Raw genomic sequence first — 24,192 nt, forward strand, 5'->3', positions numbered from 1 at the left:
TTTTAGTAGAGACAGGGTCTCACCATCTTGGCCAGGCTGGTCTCGAATTCCTAGCCCCAGGTGATCCGCCAGCCTCGGCCTCCCAAAGTGCTGGGATTACAGGCATGAGCCACCAAGTGACCTTCTGAGACAGAATCTCACTCTGTCGTCCAGGCTGGAGTGCAATGATATGATCTTGGCTCACTGCAACCTCCGCCTCCCGAGTTCAAGTGATTATTCTGCCTCCCGAGTAGCTGGGATTATAGGCATGCACCACCACACCCGCTAATTTTTGCATTTTTAGTAGAGATGGGGTTTCACCATGTTGCCTAGGCTGGTCTTGAACTTCTGGGCTCAAGCAATCTGACTGCCTTGGCCTCCCAAAGTGCTGGGATTACAGGCATGAGCCACCGTGCCTGGCCCCAAGTGACATTTATTTGGACTTCAAATCAGTGGTTTTCCATTGTTGCCGCTGGATCCCCCTCGGCTTCCAGCTCAAGGTAGTTTCCAGGCAGAGTGCCTCTGTGTTAATCTGTCTTCCCCCTTCTTCCTAGCAGGGTGCATTGATCCCCACCTTCCTTTTCTAGTTCCTGTGTTGAGGGTTTTTTCTTACACTTGGGGTCCTTTCTTATCTCCTGTCATGGGACTAATAATCTCTCCCCACTAGTCAGCTCCCCTTTTTGTTCCTCTGAGTCACCCAATTCCATATAATCATACTGTATCTACCCTGCCTCCAACCCCTTTAAAAAGAAGGAAGAAGGGAGAGAAGGGAGTGGAAGTGTGAGGGGAGCAGGAGCAGGATGGAGGAGGAGGAGGAAGGCGAGGAAGGAAGGAGAGAAGTGGAGGGGAGAGGGGAGACGGTCAGAAGGGAAGGGAGTAGGGACCTGGGGCCGCCTCTTCTCCCAGGTCGTTTTACATTCTGAGGTAGATATTCAGAAGAGGTATTCCTGCAATAGCTCTGACTGATGGGTGGTGGCAGAAAACAAAACCTCACGCCGGCTGGGTGTGCACGCTCCATCCGCTCACTGTTGAGTGACGGTCCCTCAGCCCCACGGTCACCGAGCCACAGGCGGCGCTTTCTCTGACTTCCCAGGCATCCTCGTGCCTGGCCGAGGTGTGACTGGGCTCCCTGGGAGCCCTTTCCTAGGCCAGACTGGGCCTCCCCCTGCCCCTCCTCGCCCAGCGGACCGAGTGGGGGCCAATGTGGGCAGGAAATGCGGCCCCCATGCGGGGCAGGCCTGGACCGGCTGGGGCGGGAGCACTGGATGCACTCCTGTGCACACCAATTCCAGGCAGCTTTAGAAGGCTGTAGTGGTCCCACAGGGGCTGGGAAGCAAACCTGTGATGATAACCTCAGGGTAAGCTGCTTTCTGCCAGGCTATTGAACGCAAACCAAAGCCTTATGATAGGCATGACTTCCCACTCAGGGAGTAAGATGAGAGCAACCGTGGTTAAAATTCCAAATGTGACCTTCTCTCCTCTCTAACAATGAGAAGGCCACAAAGTACATTGTATTTGCCACATTATGGATGTGGAGAGAGAAGGGAATAGACGCCGCTATGTGAGGTTGATAAAGGCTCTCCTAAGAGCTGCATTTTACAGACCTTTTATTTGCTTGCCAGCCACGAGAGAATGCTAATTTAACAATGACACATTTTTTCAGGGACAATACATACATACTGGAATTAGCTTGCATTCATCAACAGCACTCAAATGAACTACAGGAATAATGTGCACATTTTGTAGACCATTGCATTCAGCTAATTCTCAGCAACATTCCATTTATGTATCTCGGGAGGAAATTCTGTGGATTGGAGTACAGGTAATATGTCGTTGCTGCTGCTGTTATGTTTTTTGTTCTTACAATTACACTAAATCTGCTACCATTGGTGAAGTAGGCAAGAAGTTTAATGTATGGCTAAAAGGAAATGACTGGCAAAGGACTGACAGCTGAATACTGCAGATGGCAGGTTCATGAACATGGAAAAACAGCATATTTTGACTGGTTCCTCTTTCTGTAGCAACTTAATACTCTAAATAGTCATAATCATAATAGTTCAAGTGACATTTGATATTTGGCTAAACATAAGAAGAAAAAAATTATCTAACTTCATATAACTCACCCAATGTGTTAGATAGCAAAACAGTTTCTACAGTTGTGCTTTTGTTTTGTTTTGTTTTGTTTTTTGGTACAGTAGCTTTTTGAACTTAGCTAATAGCCCTCAGGTATTTTTTTTTTTTTTTGAGGTAGAGTCTAGCTCTGTTGCCCAGGCTGGAGTGCAGTGGCGTGAACTCGGCTCACTGCAACCTCTGCCTCCTGGGTTCAAGCGATTCTCCTGCTTCAGCCTCCCGAGTAGCTGGGACTACAGATGCACACTACCATGCCCAGCTAAGTTTTGTATTTTTAGAAGAGATGGGGTTTCACCTTGTTGGCCAGGCTGGTCTCGAACTCCTGACCTCAGGTGATCTGCCCTCCTCGGCCTTCCAAAGTGCTGGGATTACAGGCATGAACCACTGCGCCCAGCCCCTCAGGTAAATCTAAGTTCCCCTGAAGTTGGTAGCCAAACTTAAATTCTCTTTGGCTTCCTACACACTACATTTCTTTTTCCCCAAATTGCCTTCTAGCAAAAAGATGCTAACATCTTTAGCTCTGCTGCCAAGTTCAGCTTTGTCTCAGACCAGCTCAGCCTCTTCCTATGAGTGACAACCATTTTTCACACGACTCAAAGACTACAAACTGTCACTCCAACTATCTGTGCCAAAACCTCTCATACTCGTCCTGGCTCTTGCTCCTCATAGTGCTCTGAGGATTTGAAACTCAAAATATTGGCCTCTCAAAAAAGTTGAAAAAGATTTTGGGTAAGCAGATCCTCAAAGCACACGCTAAAGCTTCTGCACAGTAGACATTTTGTGAACAGTCCAGTGACAGTGTCTTTTTAGTGAATGACAGGAGGAAAATCCAAGCTGACTGAGTCTTCTTGACCACTAGGGGGCTTCACTGGACCACAACCCATATCACACTGGCAAATGAGTGAAAATGATTGTTCTTCATTGTTTACCTGTTTATAAGGGCGATTTTCCACAATCAAAGTAGGCCCTTTGTAATTGTCAGGAATTATATAATAACAAAAATAGGATGCTTCTCTTAAAAATAGCAACTAATCTTTTAAAAAGGAGGACAAAATTTGAATTTTATAATAATAACAAGAATGGCTGGGGAGAAAAAAGACTAAATGTGATGAGAAATGAGAATTTATAATTCAACCACACCAACTATTACTAACCTTATGGCTAACGTTTTTTTTTTTTCCAGCAACAATCATTTCCAAGTAAGTAGGCAACAATTAGGTTTTTTCAACCTCTGTATTGTTTTTCTTCAGTGGCTTGGAAATTCAGGGACATAGATGGAAATAGTTTTTTACAAGGTCTATCATTCTGGGAAAATTTTCCCAAGTAACAAGAATCATAAAGTCTTTTGAAAAAGTATCTTCACTTATTTGCTTCCTCAATACACCCATTTCACCAAGTAAGACAGTTATTTATCGTTACAAAATGTTATCTACTACCCTAATCAAAGGCTGATATCACTGGATTTCCTGAGCCAAAGATATCTATGCCTTAGCTGAGCTAGAGACTCTTCCATATTACCCTTATGTCTGTGTATATATCTAGAAGTGTCTTGACACAGGTTTTCATGGGCATGGAAGAAAAATCCCAGAAAAGGCAAATGACTTTCTTTTTGATATATACATGTACTTTTAAAGCGTCTTGATTTTTACATCGATGTGTAAAAAAGCTAAGAAACATCATTTAGGCTGGCAGAATGATGTACTGATTGCTGCCTTATGATTCCTTATGCGAAATAGCCCTGAATACATTAATATGAATATGAAATAGCCATAAAACCTGCTATTGGTTTTATGCTTTCAAATACTGTTTGATTTTGATGTATTTTGTTCTATGTAACTTGTTCTGAAGATTGCATTACACCTTGCCCTTTGTTCAGAATGTTTTGTGGTAGCTTTTAGCCAAAAGTTCTGAACTCTCTTTTGAGTTAACAAGGCCAGAGCACCTGGCCAGAGAACACCAATCACCTCCAAGAGGATAGCAGGCCAAAAGCATTTTGGAAGTGTGGAAGTGCATCTGATGTGGAAAGAAAATTGATATTTAAAAAACTGGGATGAAAGAAGATGCTGCTTTCCTTCTATTAAAACTTACGAACAAGCCACAAAACTAGGGTAATCAGGCCCTTGACAAGACCTACCTGAGGCATGAAGTGGGGTTCTTTTGGTTACATTGTCTTTCACAAAGATGGATGCGCCCTGATTGATAAGCGCTTCCACACATTCTGTGTGTCCTTTAAAGGCAGCCAGATCCAGAGCAGTGCGGCCTTTCTCATCCCTGATGTCCAGGTCCACCAACGACTGCAGAAGGACTTCCAAGGCTTGATGGTGCCCATTGTAGGCCTGCAAAGAAGAAACCAATGGCTCCCATGCTTGCTCGCTCACCTCAAATCCCGCCACAGTCCACAGGAGGGGCTGGGCTTCCTGGGCCATGGATAGAGACCACTCCCAAGAGCACGTCAGAAAAACACTTGGAATATTTATTAAAACTCAGGCAAGCTGGAGAGTTAGACTGAAACACTACAATGCACAAACCTCACAGTTCCATATGAGTTTCGTGTTCTTTCTCTTTTGTCACATAATTTGCTCCAAAGACACTGAATGTATTAATGTATTCTTATATTTATATCTACTGATCTAATCATCTAATATAAACTAACAGCTGAATGAATTACCATATTCTTTTATCTGTCAGTTCAGTCCTAAACATATTGGCATAATCAGAATTTTTTTCCAGGAGTCTTTTCTGATAACAAACCTGGGGGAAAAATTACTAAAAACATTGTGGACTTTGAGATACAACAGAGGCATGTAGATGTTCTGTTATAGGCCAATTCTATACTAATTTCTAACTGTGTGACCTTAGGTGAGTTTCTTAATTTCACTTAGAGTTTGTTTCTTCATGTATAAGATGAGAGCAATCAAAGCTGCCTCCTAGGGTTGCTGTGAAGATGAAATTGCATAGGCTTTGCAAAATATCTTGCATGTAGCTAGTGCCTCTTTTCTCCTTTATTTCTTCCCCTGATTACAATGAAAAACATTTCATTATAGAAACAATTATGGAAATACACTCCATGTAGCAGCACTAAGTTCAGACCTTTTATGAGGTCCTAAGCTATGTTAAGATTAAGAGGCTTGTCAGACACGGTGGCTCACACCTATAATCCCAGCACTTTGGGAGGCCGAGACGGGTGGATCACTTGAGGTCAGGCATTCGAGACCAGTCTGGCCAAAATAGTGAAACCTCGTCCCTACTAAAAATACAAAAATTAGCAGGCATGGTGGCGGTGCCTGTAATCCCAGCTACTCGGGAGGCTGAGGCAGGAGAATTGCTTGAACCCAAGGCGGAGGTTGCAGTGAGCTATTATCACGACTCTGCACTCCAGCTTGAGTGACAGAGCAAGACTCTGTCTCCAAAAAAAAAAACAACAAAAAATGATGCTTTGTACCATCAAAAAACAAAACTAAAAGTCTGAAAGATAATTTTTATTGAGTCTATAAGTTAAAAAATGTATTAGCTGCCCCCCACCCCACCTCTCCACACACAGGCAAAGGACACTGAAAATAAGAGAAGGGAGCTCAGGTTATATGGGGTGAAATGGGTATGGGGGACATGGTCAAGAGCAGTTGAGAAAATTGTTTATTGGTGGCCTGACTCTGAAACTACAGATGATACTTTAAGAGAACATTTTGAGAAATGGGGCACATTCACAGGTTGTGTGGTAATAAAAGACCCCCGAACAAAATGTTCCAGGGGCTTTGGTTTTGTGACCTACTCTTGTGTTGAAGAGGTAGATGCTTGACCACATAGCATTGATGAGCATGTAGAGGAACCAGAGAGCTGTTTCTAGGGAAGATTCTGCAAAGCCTGCTGCCCATCTAACAGCGAAGAAAATATTTGTTGGTGGTATTAAAGAAGATATAGAGGAATAGAATTTGAGAGACCATTTTAAAAGGTATGGCAAGATTACAACCACAGAAGTTATGGAAGACAGGCAGATTGGAAAAAAAGAGAGGATTTGCTTTTGTAACTTTTGATGATCATGCTACAGTTGATAAAACTGTCATTCAGAAACACCACAATATTAATAGGCATAACTTGGAAGTGAAAGAGACCCATTCTATACAAGAGATGCAGTCTGCTGGATTGCAGAGAGGTCGTGGAGGTGGATCTGGCAATTTTATGGGTGGTAGAGGAAACTTTGGAGATGGAGGAAGTAATTTTGGCTGTGGTAGAAACTTTGGTGGAAGAAGAGGCTATGGTGGTGAAGGTGGTGGCAGCAGAGGTAGTTATGGAGGAGGTGATGGTGGGTGTAATGGATTTGGAGGTGATGGTGGCACCTATGATGGTGGTCCTGGTTCTAGTGGTAGAGGGGGCTATGGTGGTGGTGGACCAGGATATAGAAACCAAGGGGGTAGATATGGTGGTGGGGGATATGGTGGTTACAATGAAGGAGGAAACTTTGGTGGTGGTACCTGTGGTGGTGGTGGGAACAATAATGATTCTGGAAATTATAGTGGGCGACAGCAATCAAATTTTGGATCCATGAAAGGGGGTAGTTTTGGTGGAAGAAGCTCAGACAGTCCCTATGGTGGTGGTTGGGTCTGGTGGTGGAAGTGGTGGATATGGTAGCAGAAGTTTCTAAAAACAGCAGAAAAGGGCTAGAGTTCTTAGCAGGAGAGAGCGATGAGTTGTCAGGAGAGCTGCAGGTTACTTTGAGACAATTGTCCCAAATGCATTAGAGGAATGGTAAAAATCTGCCACAGGAATGATCATCCATAGTCAGAAAAGTTACCGCAGCTTAAGCAGGAAATCCTTCTTGTGCAGGACTGTCACAGCCACCGTTTGCAAAACGTCCAGCTATTAATTAATGCAATGTAATGCCATTTAGATGTACATTCCTGAGGTATTTTATCTGTCGTAGCTTTATCTTTTTCTTTTTCTTTTCATTACGTCAGGTATATTGTCTTGTAAATTGGGGTAGTGGTATGAGGATTAAAAAATTAAGGCATTTTTAACTTTCAATATTTGTGTAATTCCATTTTTCTACATTTTAATACAGAAACTAACAAAATGCAGTTTTGAAGGTGTTTCCTTGTGAGTTAACAATAAAGAAGATCACTATTAATTACTATTTTGTATGAATTTTATTAAAGTTAACTGTAAAGAAACAACTGCTGACTTACAGTTTAAAGGGAATCTATTCTCCCCATTTCCAAACCATGATCTGAATGGGCACTGACAAGTGGAGAGAATGGATATCTGTATGTTTGCAATGTGTGTTTTAGATAAATAGGACTGGAAATTAGCATATTTGTGAATTTAATAGCATTAAGATTACCTTCAAATGAAAAACAAAAACTCAGAATTCACAAAAAAAAGAAAAGAAAAGCCTGATTCCAGTGTCTTCAGCAACCAAGTCTCCTCTTATGTCACTCGCACTTTTTATTTTTTTACTGCAGCTATTACTCAAGATACAATTTGTTTGAAAAAAGGCTCAGCACAGACAAAAGACTAATTTCCTTAATATATAAAGAACTCTTGGAAACCATTTTAAAAACTAGGAAAATACGCAAAAGGCATGAAAAGGCAACTCACAGAAAAAGAAATAAAAAAGGTCAATAAATATGAGAATATGTGAAGAAATAAGTAAAATTTTAAAGTATGATTTTTCACCTACCAGATTGGCAATGATTAAAGTTTGGTCATGCCCAGTATTAGATAAGACACTGAAAAAAGCAATCATACACTCTGTTGGTGAGAGTATAGATTGGTGTGACATTTGTCGAGGGTGGTTTAACAAAATCTATCAAACTTTTTAAAAAGAGAAAAGAAGTTGCAAACAGTACTTAAAGCATGATCTCATTTATATACAAAGCAAATATATCTCATATATATAGGCTTCTATATTCATAGAAGATTTGTAGAAAGATACAAAAGAAGCTATCAATGGTACTTACTCTAGAACTAGGAAGTAGAGTAATAAATGCATGGACTTATTTTACCTTATCTTTTAAAATATGGTTTGAATGTTTCTTCCTGAGTGTGTGTTAACAATGACAATAACAAAAACTACATTGAAAAGGAGACAGAGGAATTAAGAGTACAGATACATTAAATATTTTTTTCTCATTACATTATGTTTGTGAATGATTTTGATTATGTTACATATTAAACCTATATATCATTTATAATAGGTAGTATAACAACTCATGCTGATGAATCCCAAAAGTATATCCCAGTCCCACTTCTCCCTTGACTTCTCAACTTGTATGTCCAGCTGCCTATTGATGTTCCCACTTGAATGTGTAATAGGCATCTCAAACTGAAATCTCCCTCCCAAAACTTGCTCCATCTGCAGCCTTTACCATCTCAGTAAATGGCAACTTTATTCTTCTAGTTGTTCAGGCCCCAAACCTTACAGTTGTCTTTGTCTTCCCTCCTGTTAAACCCAGGGCTATTGCCCTGAACAAGGAAGGGCTCTGGATAATAGAGCCAGTGGGTGTTGAAAAATAGCCCTTCCCCTCCTTGCTGCCCTAGTACAGGGAAGTGTCTGCTGAAAGCAAGGGACACATTTGCTAACTCACATGGAGATGTCATTAGGGTCTCAGGTATCTGGCAGGAATCTGGCCTAATTCTCACAAAGTGCTGTATCAATGCCACTTTCAGGGCTCATCATTTCTATTCTTTCTTTAAAATACGTCCAGAATCTGTCTTCTTCTCACCGCATCACCAACCTGTTTTGCCAGGATTACAGCAAAAGCTTCCCTTCCTATCCTTGTCCCACTGCAATCTGTTATTAATGCAACCATTGGGTGAAATCTTTTAAACTCGAGTTGGGTCACATCATTCCTTGCTTAAAACTAGCCTATGACGTCTTCCCTCACTGATACCAATATCCAAAACTTTCCATGACCAATCAGGCCCCCAGAATCTGGCCTTCCTCTACCCTCAGTTTCAGCATGTCCCCTCACTCACTCTGTTCCAGCTGCACCAGCCTCCCTCTATAGTTAAATAGCTGCATGTCCCCCTCTGGGCCACTGCATCTGTACTTTCTGCTCCCTCTGTCTGGAAAGCTCTCCCAGTAATTCTGCTCAAATATCACCTTATCAGGGGGGCTTCCCAGAGCAGCCCATGTAACATATAAAATAGGCTCTGCCCTCCACCTCACACATACTCCCAGATACTCTCCACCCCACTAATCCTGCTTTCTTCTGCTTCATAGCACAAAACTGATATCAATGGATATCTGTTATGTATCTATTGATTTGCTTATTGTTTGTGATTGAAGGGACTTAATGTGGGTTGTTCCTGCTGTATTCTAGAATCATGCCTGGCACACAGTAGACACTCAATACTTACTTGATGAATAAATGAATGAATATAATGACTACTATATTTATTACTATTTTTGGTAGAAATATGTTTTTTAAACAGCAATTATTTTTTGAGGGTTTTTTATGTGCTGGGCACTATTTCAAACATTTTAGCATAAATCCCAAACATCTTTTCTTATAGATGAAAAAACCAAAACAAGCAATGTTAATTAACTTGTCCAAGATCACTTAGTTAGTAAGTGACAAAATCAGGATTCTGAACCCAGAATCTGTCACTACTAAATCTCACGCTTTTAGGTGCCATCTTACAATTTTCCCCAGTAATTCCATTTAGTTGACTTCCAGACAAAATTCTCTTGTCTCTATGTGGAATAGAGACAAAATAATGGTGACAGAATTGAATAACAAATATTGAATCAGAAACCTAAACCCTTTCTATAGAAGACTCAACACAGAAATGCAGTGGCTTGAGCGGAGCTATGAAGCGAGAAGGTACACTTCTGGGACTAACCTTTAGACTCTTGCTCTTCTACTACACACAATGCCTGGCTTGAGACAGGAGAATGCATTTCTAAAATAAATTGCTAATAGATATGTCTAACTTTCTGATCTGTGCTTGTTATGCAAACCATAGCTGCACAGGATAGTAAGTCTCTATTCTAACCTAAACTCTGAAGCAATAGCTAACTTTTATGGAGCACTTGCTGTATGTCAGGCAGTATTGGGCATGCATTGCCTCACTGAATTCTCACAACAACCTATGCTCTGCTCCTGTTATTCCCATTTTGCCCAGGATGACACAGAAGGGCAGAGATGATAACCAGCTCTCCCATGGTTACACAGCCTAATGTGGAGGAGCTGGGTTTCAAAGGTGGACCAGGCTGACTCCCAGAGCCCAAGCTGTGAGGCTTTTCACTAGTGAATATGGAAAGGGCGCAACATGACCATAAGTTATATGTTCCCGTAACCTTTTATTATAGGAAATTCCAAACATAAACAAATAATAGAGGATGGTATAATGAATTGCCGTATACCTTTCACGCAGTTTGAGTCATGAACAGCTCAGGGAATAGGCGATTTCTTTTTTTTTCTTTCTTTTTTTTTTTTGAGCTGGAGTCTCATTCCGTCGCCCAGGCTGGAGTGCAGTGGTGCCATCTTGGCTCACTGCAGCCTCCACCTCCCGGGTTCAAGTAATTCTCCTGCCTCAGCCTCCCCAGTAGATGAGATTACAGGTGCACGCCACCATGCCCAGCTAATTTTTGTATTTTTATTTTTATTTTGTATTTTTAGTAGAGATGGGGTTTCACCATGTTGGCCAGGCTGGTCTCAAACTCCTGGACTCAAGTGATCCACCTGCCTTGCCCTCCCAAAGTGCTGAGATTACAGGCGTGAGCCACCACATCCGGCCACACAAGTGATTTTAAGCCAACTCAGGAGCACTTCATGTAAAACTTGAGATAAAAGGAGTGCCTACATCAGTGTGTACATCAGGCTATGACACTTGACTCCAGGCTTAGTCTGTCGCTTAAACTTGGACTTAACTTGCTTAAGTTAAAGAGACCTAATACTAAAATCAAATGGAGTGAACCATGCTGGCAATTAGGAAAGCTTTAAAATTTCAACCCATACTTTCTTCTATACCAGGCACTTGAAAACCCTCTTAAAGACAGAATGGTTGAGAGGCCAGATTTATCTATAGCAGGGGTGTCCAATCTTTTGGCTTCCCTGGGCCACGTTGGAAGAATTGTTTTGGGCAACACATAAAATACACTAACACTAATGATAGCCGATGAGCTTAAATAAAAAAAATTGCAAAAGGAATCTCATCATGTTTTAAGAAAGTTTACAAATTTATGTTGGGCCACAATCAAAGCCATCCTGGGCACATGCAACCCTTCAGCCAGGGGTTGGACAAGCATAATCTATAAAATTCGCTTTGTTTCTTTATCTAGTTTGTAGCTCCTGAATTTTACTATGCATAAAGTAAAGCCTTCACTAGAAGTATTAAACATTTTAAATTGTTTTAAGCAACACCTTTAAAAAGCCTTATTAGGTAACAATTATTTCTTTTTTTTTATAATTATATATGGAGTTTTTTATTATTATTATACTTTAAGTTCTAGGGTACATGTGCACAATGTGCAGGTTTGTTACATATGTAAATATGTGCCATGTTGGTGTGCTGCACCCATTAACTCTTCATTTACATTAGGTATTTCTCTCAATGTTATCCCTCCTCCCTCCCCCCATCCCACGACAGGCCCAGTGTGTGATGTTCCCTGCCCTGTGTCCAAGTGTTTTCATTGTTCAGTTTTCACCTATGAGTGAGAACATGCAGTGTTTGGTTTTCTGTCCTTGTGATAGTTTGCTCAGAATGATGGTTTTCATCTTCATCCATGTCACTACAAAGGACATGAACTCATCCTTTTTTATGGCTGCATAGTAGTCCACGGTGTATATGTGCCACATTTGCTTAATCCAGCCTATCATTGATGGACATTTGGGTTGGTTCCAAGTCTTTGCTATTGTAAATAGTGCCACAATAAACATACATGTGCATGTGTCTTTCTAGTAGCATGATTTATAATCCTTTGGGATTTACAATCCCAGTAATGGGATGGCTGGGTCAAATGGTATTTCTAGTTCTAGATCCTTGAGGAATTGCCACAGTGCCTTCCACAATGGTTGAACTAGTTTACACTCCCACCAGCAGTGTAAAAGCGTTCCTATTTCTCCACATCCTCTCCAGCACCTGCTGTTTCCTGACTTTTTAATGATCGCCATTCTAACTGGTGTGAGATGGTATCTCATTGCGGTTTTGATTTGCATTTCTCTGATGACCAGGGATGATGAGCATTTTTCATGTGTCTATTGGGTACATAAATGTCTTCTTTTGAAAAGTGTCTGTTCATATCCTTTGCCCACTTTTAGATGGGGTTTTTTGATTTTTAAACTAATTTCTCTCAGGAACTGACCAAACAACCAAACCAAATGTTAAGTAAGTTTACAGAATATGTGAGCTGCACAATGAGAAAAATTTCTCTAACTGCCGTATAAAACACTATGTCTAGCAACTACGAAAGACAACTTTTTATAAACAATTATCTCTTAAACGTGATTAATTTCTCCAGACCTTTTAAGATAGGAACTAAGGACAATGAGGGGAAAGAATTGGGATCTCAACAGAATCCATGAGAACAATGGATCTGTCTGGAAATCTTGACAGCTAGAGCCTTTCATTTGCATAACATTGTTTCTTAATTTAATCTTTTCAAGAGGATGAAATGCTTATGAAATTCACTGGGCCAATAACCCTGGAGATTTGAATCATTCAGCCAGGAAATAGTAACTCAAGGCAGGTCAGGTTTCTTGTAGCAGTCAAGGTTTGGGGGCATCTGGTTCCATTACACTGCTAGATGGCTTCCACCTAAGAAATTATGTGCCTTGGGTTTTATCAAGTTAATTGCTACTGAGGCCCCTAGAGAGGGTGATGGGCATACCTTTTGGGTCCTTAAAGCAAATAATTTGTATTTAGAGAGAAAGAATAAAATGACTTTAGAAGGAATCCACCGTAATCACCCTGGTCAAAGTCATGGTCATCATCTCTTGCCTGGTTTGCTTTGCTTCTGCTTTCGTTCCCTTGCAATTTTGACTCAACATAGAAACTAAAGTGATCCTTTTAAAACAAAAGTCACATCATATCAATCTGTTTCCTCAAGACCCTCCTAATAGTTTCCTATTTTGTTCAGAGTAAAAGTCCCCATGAGATCTGTGGTGGCCCCCCAAACTCCTGGCTCCCTCCACAACATGTGAGGCATTGCCCCCAGCTACTCTCCTCACCACTCTGCTCCAGCCACAGTGGCCCCTTTCCTGTTCTGTGGACAGTTCATGAGTTCCCCCAGGGACTTTGCACTTCTGCCCAAAACACTCCTTCATCAGATGTCAACATGCATAGCTCTTAAGGTCTCTGTACAAATATGAGATTCTATGCTACGTAAAATAGCACCCTGGCCAGGTGCAGCAGCTCATGCCTGCAATTACAGCTACTCAGGAGGTTAAGACAGGAGGATCACTTGAGCCCGGGAGTTTGAGACCAGCCTGGGCAACACAGTGAGACCCCACCTCTTAAATAAATAAATAAGCACCCTGTCTGCCATCTCAATACTTTCTATCTCCCTGATCCCATTTCATTTTCTCTGTAGCACCTGCAGCACTTATTGCCATCTGTCATTTGAGATATTTCCTCGCCTGTTTGTCTCCCCTAGACTGGATACTCTGCAAGGGCAGAGGTGGGGTTTTGTTCACTGCAATATCTCCAGCTACTCAAACAGTGCTTGGCACTATTCACAGTCAGTGTATGTTGGATGAAAGGATGATGTTAATAATGATGTTATATGATGTTAGTAATGATGACGATGAAGCTAGCTCATGGCACATATGTGTGCCAGGCACTGTTCTAATTGTGTTACATCCATTAACTCATGCCATCTCCACAATGGCCCTACGTTGAGGTACTGCTATTCTCATATCATGGGTAGGGACACTGAGACATAAGAGGTGAGGTATTTGGGTTAATATCACACAATAAACAATTCAATAAATTAACAAGTTGGAAAGGGTCTTTGAGATGCTTAACTAACAGATTCCCTTTAACTTACAGGTGGGGAAACCATGCACAGGTGAGTTGCTAATGAAAAGAATGGCAGCTAGGACCTCCACTTGATGTACCTTTCCTGGGTCTCTGTCAGCTGCAGAACTACCAAAGCCCACCTCTTTTAAATGATATCACCACCCTATCTTTACGCAGCCAGCAACCCATAGAGTTTAGCAGAGTACACAATAAGCATTCAACAAATACACTGTGGAAAAAAAAAAGAAGAACGAGAGATGATCAAGTCTTTGGAAGCCAAGAAACTCTTCTCAGATTAGTAGCAGGCTTGGCAATGCAGTCAAACCCACTTTCTTGGGGCCTGAGAATTGTATCTGAGATAACCCTCCACATAAGACTCTCTAGGGGCAGTTAGTGCTATGTTTGTGAGTGCTCAGCTTTGGGGTAACTTCCCCAGGCACAGCAGATGGTTGGGCAGGGATTCTAGCAAGCAACCTGTACTAAGGGCCAACTGGCATGAAGATTTATATGTATAAATATCCCACTATTCATCCACATTTTCCACAGTAAGTCCATCTCCGGGAACACAGACTGATGCACACTTTACCCTGATTTCACTGGACTCAAAATGCATGTGTGTATGAGCGTGTAGTGGGTGTGTTGGTGGGTGTCAGAGGACGTGTGAGTGGGTGTCAGCAGGTGTGCTGTGAGTATGTGGGGAGACAGGCAGTGAAAGGAAAGCTCCACACATATGGTCAGTTCTGGATACTCCCAATCCTTGTGTGATGGCCTTGTCTCCGCTCTCTTGCCTGAACACCTCTGCATGTCAATTAATAAAACACTCCTCTCTTCTCTCCAAAATTTCCAGGTCAATTTTTCATCAGAATGACACTGAAGGAGTGCTTATGTACACATAGTATTAAGTGAAAAGTCATAAACACAGTTAAACAAAGAAACCCAGCCCCTTCCCATTCTTCCTGGTGTCCTGCCCCTGGGTTTTACTAAGCAAAGAAGCATCCAAACACCATCTTTGTGGCCTTGAACCAAGTGCTCACAATTCAGCAGCACCAAGGGCACGTGAGTGCCTCGGGAAGGTGAGCTGGCTGTTGCTGGGTGTGGCTGCCAGTCAGCAGGGTTCCTAGGGAGCAGCTGCTGATGGCCAACTCTTAGCAACTCACAATCTGAGACAGAGTGGTGGGTGCACTTCCCACCTTGGTCACTCCCATGAAGAGTTTGGGGATCATCACTCTGAGCTGTTGCATTTGCCTTCAATTACTGGGATGTGGAGAGGAAGCGTTACTGGTGATAAAATAACTCTTCTTCCCTCACCTCCCAGATCTCACCCAGTACAAGAATCAGAGCCTCAGACTTCGTTGAAGACCCTGATTTCAAGTCCAGGCAGAAGGTCGCAGCTGCAGCTCTGCATGTGCTCATCTTGCTCTCATCAGTTTGTGCTGAAACATCCTGCCAGTTTTTAACTGTGGTATTCAATTAGCCATAGGTTTTCCACTTGTATATTGTTATCGCTAATCAAATCTCTTAAACTGAAATGTATCCTTTGAATTTTAAAGACGGTTAAACTCTACAAGAATAAAGGTTAAGGGCTTTGGGTGCATTATCTCTTTTCATTTGCCCTCATTTCGCAGATGGGGAAACTGAGGCTCAAGACAGGGTAAGTCATGTGTCTAAGATCACCAGCAGATGAAGCTGGGAATGAAGGCGAGGCAGTCTGTCTCCACAGCCTGTGCCTTTTACCACGGACTACTTTCACTACCACTCATCACTGTGTTACTACATTTACATTTTAAGAGCAATCTAGTTTTAGGAATGCTTAGGTTGTTTTTGTAACAGGTGAAGCTGCTCATGGCATCTCACTTACAGCTAAGTGGAGTGGACTCTTAGTAGCACCAGAATCTGATTCTTCAAATCCACTGTTTGTTCTTTCCAAAAGCTGTGGAGACAAAAAGCAAACAATAGTACGTGAGTCCAAATTTTGCAAAATGTTGGTGTAAATGAGAAAAGAGGTTTCAGAAACTTGAGAAGTTATGCAATTTATCAGTAATATAAAAATATGATATAACATATCTAAAACAAATATGCTAACAGAATATTTAAACTTCTAGATCACCTCAGCACTTGAATCCAGAAAAATAATTCATCTTACATCCATTTTCACCTGGCAAACAGATAATAACGAAAAAAATAAGACCCAGTATTGATTCTACTATCAAACACACATTTACTGCAGATAGTGTGGATAGTGTTGAAAAAGACAAGACTCCTGCTCTCATGAAGCTTACATTTTGGAAAAACGAAGCATAGATAAATAAATATAAAAATAAGAAAACATTTGGAAATGATCTGTGCTGTAATGAGAATAAAATACGGGGATGTGATATGGAGTGACTGACAGGCTGCTTTACAGCAGATGGCCAGGCAAGGCCTTCTCCAAGGAAGTGACATTTCAAGTGAATCCTAAATAAGAAGAATTAAACCAGATAAAGGTGTGGCAGGAGAGTATTCAGGAAGAGGAAATAGTCAATGATATGCATCAAGAGAGGACAAACATGGTAAGATCAAGGAATGGAAAGACCAATGTGACTAGGGCATCGTGTTAGTGAGGGTGGCAGGAAAATGACATTCTCGTAGACCCTTGGTGGAAGAACAAATTGTTAAAACCTTTCTGGTTCCCTAGCAAGTAGACTCAGAGAAGGGGGAGATAAAAAGAAACAAAAAAAAAAAAAACACCTTTCTGGGCAATTTGTGCATATCTTTTGAATCTAGGGATTCAATCCTAATAAATAGATGAGTGCACAATAGTGCATATTGTAAGGAAATGCATTCATACAATAAATACTCAGTGAATGATTACCATGTGCCCTGACACTGTTCCCTGCACTGATAATTCCATAATAGACCAAGTATCAAAAATCTGTTTTCCTATTGCAGAGGTGGACCTACTATAAAAGAAAGAAGTTTCATAGTTTATTAGAAAGTGCAAGGTGCTATGGTAGAGAAGGAAGGTTCAAAGAACTCGAGGGGAGATTAGTTTGTAACTTTATGTAGGGTGATTAGGGAAAGCCTCACTGAGCAGGTGATGGCCCAGTAAAGTCTCCAGGGAGATGAGGGAGCCTTGTGAATATCTTGGAGAAGAGCATTCTAAGCAGAGGGGCCAACAGCTGCCAAGACCCTTACAGACAGGTGTGCTTAATAACATCAGGAGGCTGGAGCCAAGTGAGCGAGGGTGAGAATGGCAGGACAGAAATCAGAGAGATGGTGGCTGTGGGGGTGGGCATGTCAAAGAAAGCCGTGTAGGCTGTTGTCAGAATTTTGACTTTTATCCCAAGTGAGGTGGAAATTCAGTGGAGTGTTTTGAGCAGAGGAGTTACATGATCTGTTAGGCTCTAAGGAGACAAAGGTGGGAGCACAGAGACAATTTAGGAGCTGGGGCAATAGTCCAAGAGAAAAATAACAGTGGCTTGGACCAGCAAGAAGCAGTGGAGATGAGAGAAACAGTTGGATTGTGGATATTTTTGGAGGTAAAATCAACAGGATATGCTGATGGGCTGAATATGAATGTAAGAGAAAGAGAGAGGCCAAGGATGACGCCCAGTTTTTGTCCTAAGCAAACGGAAACATGAAGGTACCATGACCTGAGATGAAGAAGGCTGTGAGTGGGATATATATAGTGGAAACAAGCAGAAGTTCAGTTTTGGACATGTGAAATTTGAGATGTTTATAAAGCATCTAAAAGTACATCTGGGCCAGGTGCGGTGGCTCATGTCTGTAATCCCAGCACTTTGGGAGACCGAAGTGGGAAGATCACTTGAGCTCAGGAGTTCAAGACCAGGCTGGGCAAGATGGCGAAACCCCATCTTTACCAAAAAATACAAAAATTAACCAAGTGTGGTGGTGCACACCTGTAGTCCCAGATACTTAGGAGGCTGAGGTGGGAGGACGGCTTTAGCCCGGGAGGTGGAGGTGGCCGTGAGCTGAGATTGTACCACTGCATTCCAGCCTGGGCAACAGAGCCAGACTCTGTCTCAAGAAAAAAAGACATATTATCCAGGAAGTTGCTGGATACATGGTTTTGGAGCTCAGGGTATTTAAAGCCATAAGATTGGATGAGATGAACAGAGTACACAAAGAAGAGACGGGGTCCCAGGACTGATGCCTGGGGCACCCACCACTAAAAGCTGGAGAGATGAGGAGGAACCAGCAGGAAGACTCAGACTGAGCAGGTGAGCTAGAAGGAAAACAAGGAGAACATGAGGTTCTGGAACCAAGTGAAGAAGGAGTTTTATGAAGAGAATGAGCAGTCATGTCAAGTGTCATGACAGATCAAGGAAAATAATGCCTGAGAATTTTTTTTTTTTTTTTTTTTTTAAGAGACAGGGTCTCACTCTGTCACCCAGGCTGGAGTGCAGTGATGTGATTTCAGCCTACAGCAGCCTCAACCTCCCAGGCTTAACGGATTCTCCCACTCTTCCCAAGTAACTGGGACTACAGGCACGTGCCACCATGCCTGGCTAACTTTTAAAAAAAATTTTTTTGGTAGAGACAGGATCTCACTACGTTTCCCAGGCTGGTCTCAAACTCTTGGGCTCAAGCAATACTGCCAGCTTGGCCTCCCAAACCGCTGAGATTACACAGGCATGAGCCACCGTGCCCAGCCAGGTCTGAGAATTGATCACTGAGTTTAGCAACATGAGGCCTGAGAACTGACCACTGTGTTTAGCAAAATGGAGGAAGCTATTAGTGACTCTGATAAAAGCCATTTATTAAGACATTGTTTATGTGAAAAAATAGAAAAAATAATAACTAGCAATAGTATAGGTTAAATATAGTGGTATATATTACACTTTCAGATAAATTGTTCCCCTTTATCTTACTTTGAAGCTCTTTATTTTTATTTTTTAAAATAGAGACAGGGTCTCACTCTGCCACCCTGACTGAAGTGTGGTGGTGTGAACATAGCTCACTGCAGCCTTGAACTCCTGGGCTCAAGTGATCCTCCCACCTCAGCCTCCAGAGTAGCTGGGACTACAGGCACAAGTCACCACGCCTGGCTCTTGAAGCTTTTCTTTGTATAGTGACACATCCAAAAGGAATGCAAATCCTGTATCCAAAGCCTCGATATGTGCTATGATGGTCGTCAACATCCAACTCCAGCTTCCTGATTGGTGGGCTTGGGCTGCCCTACATTACAGAGGCTGGACAACTAAACACCACATTTCCTAGACTCCCTTGAGCTACAGCTCCAGAGGTGATTTCAGCTCTTCCAGTTAGACGCATGAACTTTTCTTTTTCTTCACTGCCTCTTTGATAAGGTCTTTATTAAAAATAAGGTGTCCAAAATGATTTGATCTTTATGGAATAAACTCATTTAAAAGCTTATGCAGCAGGATTATTTTCCTCTGTGGTAGCTTTCTTTTCTGCTGGTTTCTTTTAAGCTGCTGTTTTCTCGGTAGTGCTGCCTTTTTTCCCACCAGAGGTTTCCTCTGCTTCTTAACACCAACTGTCATTTTTTTCCTCTCTTTCCTACCACAGGCGTCTTCCTACAACCCCTTCTCATGTGATTTAGTCTCTAGTGCTAGTGCTGCTGCTGCTACCTTATCCCCCAGAGTTTGTGATTATTTTTCTTTTTTTTTTTAGGATATTTTTATTATTATTATTATCATACTTTAAGTTCTAGGGTACATGTGCACAACGTGCAGGTTTCTTACATATGTATACATGTGCCATGTTGGTGTGCTGCACCCATTAACTCGTCATTTACATTAGGTATATCTCCTAATGCTATCCCTACCCCTTCCCCCCACCCCACAACAGGCCCTGGTGTGTGATGTTCCCCTTCCCATGTCCAAGTGTTCTCATTGTTCAATTCCCACCTATGAGTGGGAACATGCGGCATTTGGTTTTCTGTCCTTCTGACAGTTTGAGCTTGTGATTCTTGGCCTGGCAAAGAATGGTGTCCTGACACATGGTGTTTGCATATGGGTTTAGCTTCAACATGAGTTTCAGATTTTTCATGGCTTCTTTGGGACTCTGCAATGAATCTGCTTGCCTGCTGCTTGAAGGGCTCTTTGGAGCTCTAGGCTTTTCAAGATTTTGCTAAGGTCTGTGTTGCTTATCTTATGCATGGGAAGATTTTCTAGAGGGAAGCAGCTTTATGCCTAGTGCCATATAATTCATCTAACTTCCAGAAAGCACTTTCAGTCCAATGCAGAAACATCCCACATGCCCACCAAGAGCAAGTTTCAAACTGTTCAGTTTTCTTACATTAAATGCAGAGTCACTCCAGGGATGTTTCTGAAGGCCTTCATGGTACCATTATCCTCATTACAGGCAATGCAGGGTATCCTGTGTCAGATACGATGATGGTTTCTCATTTTGTCCTTGCCAGTTCTTATTTGCTGAGAGGCATAGATCTTTTTGATATCACTCCAGGTTTTAAGTTTCTTATGCAGCAAAACAGCCTCCTGGGTCTTCTTGTAGCCTTCAACTTTACCTTCAACCACCGAAGGAAGTTCAGGAACTTCCTCAATACAATGACCTTTAGACATGACCAGCATTGGTAAGGCTGAGGCAGCTGGGGCAGAGCAAGTGGCATATCATTTTTGGGTTGTGTTCATTCTACAGTGCCAATGGCACCAGGTTTTTGTTGGTGCAAACAAGCAGTCTTCACCACCCATATTTCCAAAGGCATCCTAGCCAGAACGATGAGTCCCATCACCTCAGACTCTGGGTATTGGAGCCACAGCTCAACCAGTACCCTAAAACTTCTCATCCTACCATGGCATGTGTTCATCCACTGATTGCAGTAGACTCCAAAAAGGGAGAGTTATCTGGCAAAAACGTCATTTTGCCTGCTGTGTTCAAGCCTGCCTTTCAACTAGATATTGTGAACTTTGTTCACACCAACTTGTATAAAAAAACAAAGAGCCCTATGCTGCCTGTGAATTAGCAGGTCATGAGAACAGTGCCTTTAGAAGACGGAAGTGAGGCAGAGAAAATCTGTGATTTCCAATGGTGAGCACAGTCATGAAGACTGTCTTTTAGCTTCCAGTGTAGAGGCCATGAGTTTAGTGAGGATAGAGAAGCAAGACACAGGGATGCAGGACATTCATTTTTTTGGCCGTGTGGATCAAGCCAAAAAGTGGTGTGACTCTTGAGGCAATATTAGTGGGGGTGACAAGACTGTCCCCGAACATCAGCTAGGGTGATGCGTCTATGGAATCAGTCATTCCAGTGGCTGCTTTCTGATTCCTTATCTTCCTGATCATGGGGCAGAGGCAGCCCCCTGACAGTCCAGTTCATCAGTTCAGGCTTATTTCTGGAGGCCCACCTAAAGGCCACTCTTTTAGATCTTCCAATAATCTTGTAAACACTGATTTTTAAAAATAAAACTTTTTTTTTTTGCTTAAAAGAGCTAGAGTGGTTTCTGAATCCTGCAAATGAAGCCTGACTGATTCAAAGAGCAATACAAGTGCTTTTGTTGTTGGTGGTGGTGTTGTTTTTTACTTATTATTTTTATTTTTGTAGAGATGCGGTCTCACTATGTTGCCCAGGCTGGTCTCAAACTCTAGGCTCAAGCAGTCCTCCTACCTCAACCTCCCAAAGTGCTAGGACTACAAGTGTGAGCCACCATACCTAGCCCATAATATTAATACAAGTTTGTATAGATGTTTTCCTAATGGGGATGGAGAAGAGGAAATTATAGTACCCACAACACTGGAAAGCAAAACTTTCTAAAAATCTACTTTACCTCTTTTTCTCCCTGTAAATCCAAAGCTTGTCAAGCGGAAAACACATTTTAAAACCATAAGTGTTGAATGACACTATTTTCTTTTTTTTTTTTTATAAAGCAGTATTGACATGACTATATATACAGGAAAACAAAAAGCCTAGACATAGAAATACATACCTTACAAAGTTTAACACAATAACCTAAAAGTGATGTTATAGAAGATTTTTATTTTCTTCTTTATATTTCCAGTGAATGTGTATTGTTTTGTTTGTGTGTGTGTTTTGTCTTAAGAGACAGGGTCTTGCTACATTACCTAGGCTGGAGTGCAGAGCACAGGTACAATGATAGCACAGTAGAGCCCCAAACTTCTGGGCTAAAGCAATCCTCTTGCCTCACCCTCCTGAGTAGCTGAGACTATGGGGCATACCACCATGCCCAGCTATGTATTGTTTTGTAATCAGAAAAACACTAAAGCGATTTCTATTTGGAAAAAAGCTATAACCTTTCATCTAATTTAATAATGTCCACAGACTCTCAGATAGATTCAGAACTCCTTTCTAGTCAATACATGTGGAACAAAATGCTATGATGTTAGGATTTTTTGGTAAATCAAATAATGGTGTAAAAATTACCACCTAAAAGCATGTAATTTCAAATTTGCAAATAATACAATACTATAATTATATTGGTAGTATGAGACACTTTGTGTTTGTTTCTTATTAGTGTGAAAACAGAATCTGGAACTTAAATAATCTAGTATCTGTTAGAAAAATGAGAGTAAATGTAATTTTAACTTCAAAGCAAATAACTTCAAAACCAATCTCTGTTACATACTTGAAATAAAAGTAGCCCTAACTGCTTGATAAGGCTAGAAAACAGCTGTTCTTTGCTTTGTTTTGCAACATTATCACCTGCAAGACTTCCTGGAATTGACAGTGTGTACCAACCCCAAATCCTGTCCTAGAATAAACTTTTAGTCAAAGGAACACAGAATCATTTCCCCCACTATCACAGATATGACAAACAGGGACTAGAAGACAATATACTATTACATTTTTGAGAGTGTTCCAGGACAATAGTTATAAACCAGGTCATTATCAGAAGAGACATGATCATGATCAGATTCTTGAGTTTTATAAAATCCACTCTGGCTGCCGTGTGGAAAATGAACTACAATGGTGCTGGGGGTGGGCACTGCTACCCTAGAAGCAGGAGGCATATTAGGATATTTCAACTGCGGGATTTCTAAACTGTGAATTAATAAGTCAGTGAGAACTCATAGTGGCCTGAACTACAGAAGAGGTTATAGAAATGGAAGTGTCACTTTTTTTTTTTTTTTTGAGATGAAGTCTCGCTCTGTTGCCCAGGCTGGAGTGCAGTGGTGCAATCTCAGCTCACTGCAACTTCCGCCTCCCGGGTTCATGTGATTCTCCTGCCTCAGCCTCCTGAGTAGCTGGGACTACAGGCACCCGCCACCACGCCTGGCTAGTTTTTTGTATTTTTAGTAGAGATGGGGTTTCACCATGTTAGCCAGGATAGTCTCGATCTCCTGACCTTCTGATCCACCCACCTTGGCATCCCAAAATGTTGGGATTACAGGCGTGAGCCATGGCACCCAGCTGGAAGTGTCACTCTTTTATTCATTAATTTCAATAATTATTCATTGATCCCCATGCCAGGCACTGAGATTACAACTCTAATATGGCCCCTAAATAGAGCTTAGAGACACAGAGCTTATAGTTTAGAAGGTGGAATGAACACAGATCATTAACTGAACATTGGAGGTGGGGAAAGAGGAGAGTCAAGGATGACTCTGAATTGTCTAGCTTTAGTAATGGAGTGAATGGTGATGCCTTCTTCATAAGAAACAAAGAGAAGAAGCAAGATCAAAGTAGAGAGAGATGCGTTGAGTCTCAGTTTTAATGCTGCTGGGACATTCAAGGGGAGGTGTCTAGTGGACGGCTGGATATAAGGTGGTAGGCTTTAGAAGAGAGATCTGGGATAGAGTTATGGATTTGGGAATCATCATCAATAGCTGATGCATGAAGCCCCCACAGTGAATGAGGCCACTGAGAGTGAATGTCTAATGGGAGATGGGAAAAGGCCTAAGATATAAACCTCAGGAACCTCAATTTTAAGGGTTTGGAAGAGGAAAAGAGTCTGCAGAGAGGATTAAAGAGTAGACAGAGAGGCTGAAGGAAAACTAGGAGAGTGAAATGGTGATGATGATGATGGTGGTGGTGGTGATGGTAATGATTACCATGATGATGAAGGTGATGGTGGTGGTGATAAATAATGATGAAGATTTTCACTGATAAAAGCCGAAAGTTAGTAAGCATTTGCTACGAGTCAAGCACTCTCCTAGGGGCCTTACATGAATCATCTCAATAAAT

At 41.7% G+C, this 24,192-nt stretch overlaps 1 protein-coding gene and 2 pseudogenes across 17 annotated transcripts in view; 1 reads left to right on the top strand and 2 right to left on the bottom strand.

The window, feature by feature from the left end:
- Positions 1–24,192, bottom strand: part of ANKRD44 (ankyrin repeat domain 44) — a 343,767-nt gene that overhangs the window by 42,254 nt on the left and 277,321 nt on the right. For 16 of the 17 annotated variants that reach the window (NR_160034.1, XM_047446287.1, XM_005246948.3 and 13 more), the window contains 2 exons: positions 15,929–16,000; positions 4,244–4,445 (listed from right to left, as the gene is read on the bottom strand). Coding sequence is in view for 15 of the 17 variants with exons in the window: in XM_047446287.1 (XP_047302243.1) it covers positions 4,244–4,445; positions 15,929–16,000 (274 nt within the window). In the remaining 2 variants the exon portion in view is untranslated. Of the gene's footprint in view, positions 1–4,243; positions 4,446–15,928; positions 16,001–24,192 lie in introns of those variants that run through there. The other variant, XR_923062.3, reaches the window with a different exon arrangement.
- Positions 5,707–6,766, top strand: HNRNPA3P15 (heterogeneous nuclear ribonucleoprotein A3 pseudogene 15; annotated as a pseudogene).
- On the bottom strand, positions 19,990–20,876 carry RPL4P7 (ribosomal protein L4 pseudogene 7; annotated as a pseudogene).

The sequence above is a fragment of the Homo sapiens genome, chromosome 2 (assembly GCF_000001405.40).
Source record: "Homo sapiens chromosome 2, GRCh38.p14 Primary Assembly".
In the NCBI taxonomy this organism is placed as follows: Eukaryota; Metazoa; Chordata; class Mammalia; order Primates; family Hominidae; genus Homo; species Homo sapiens.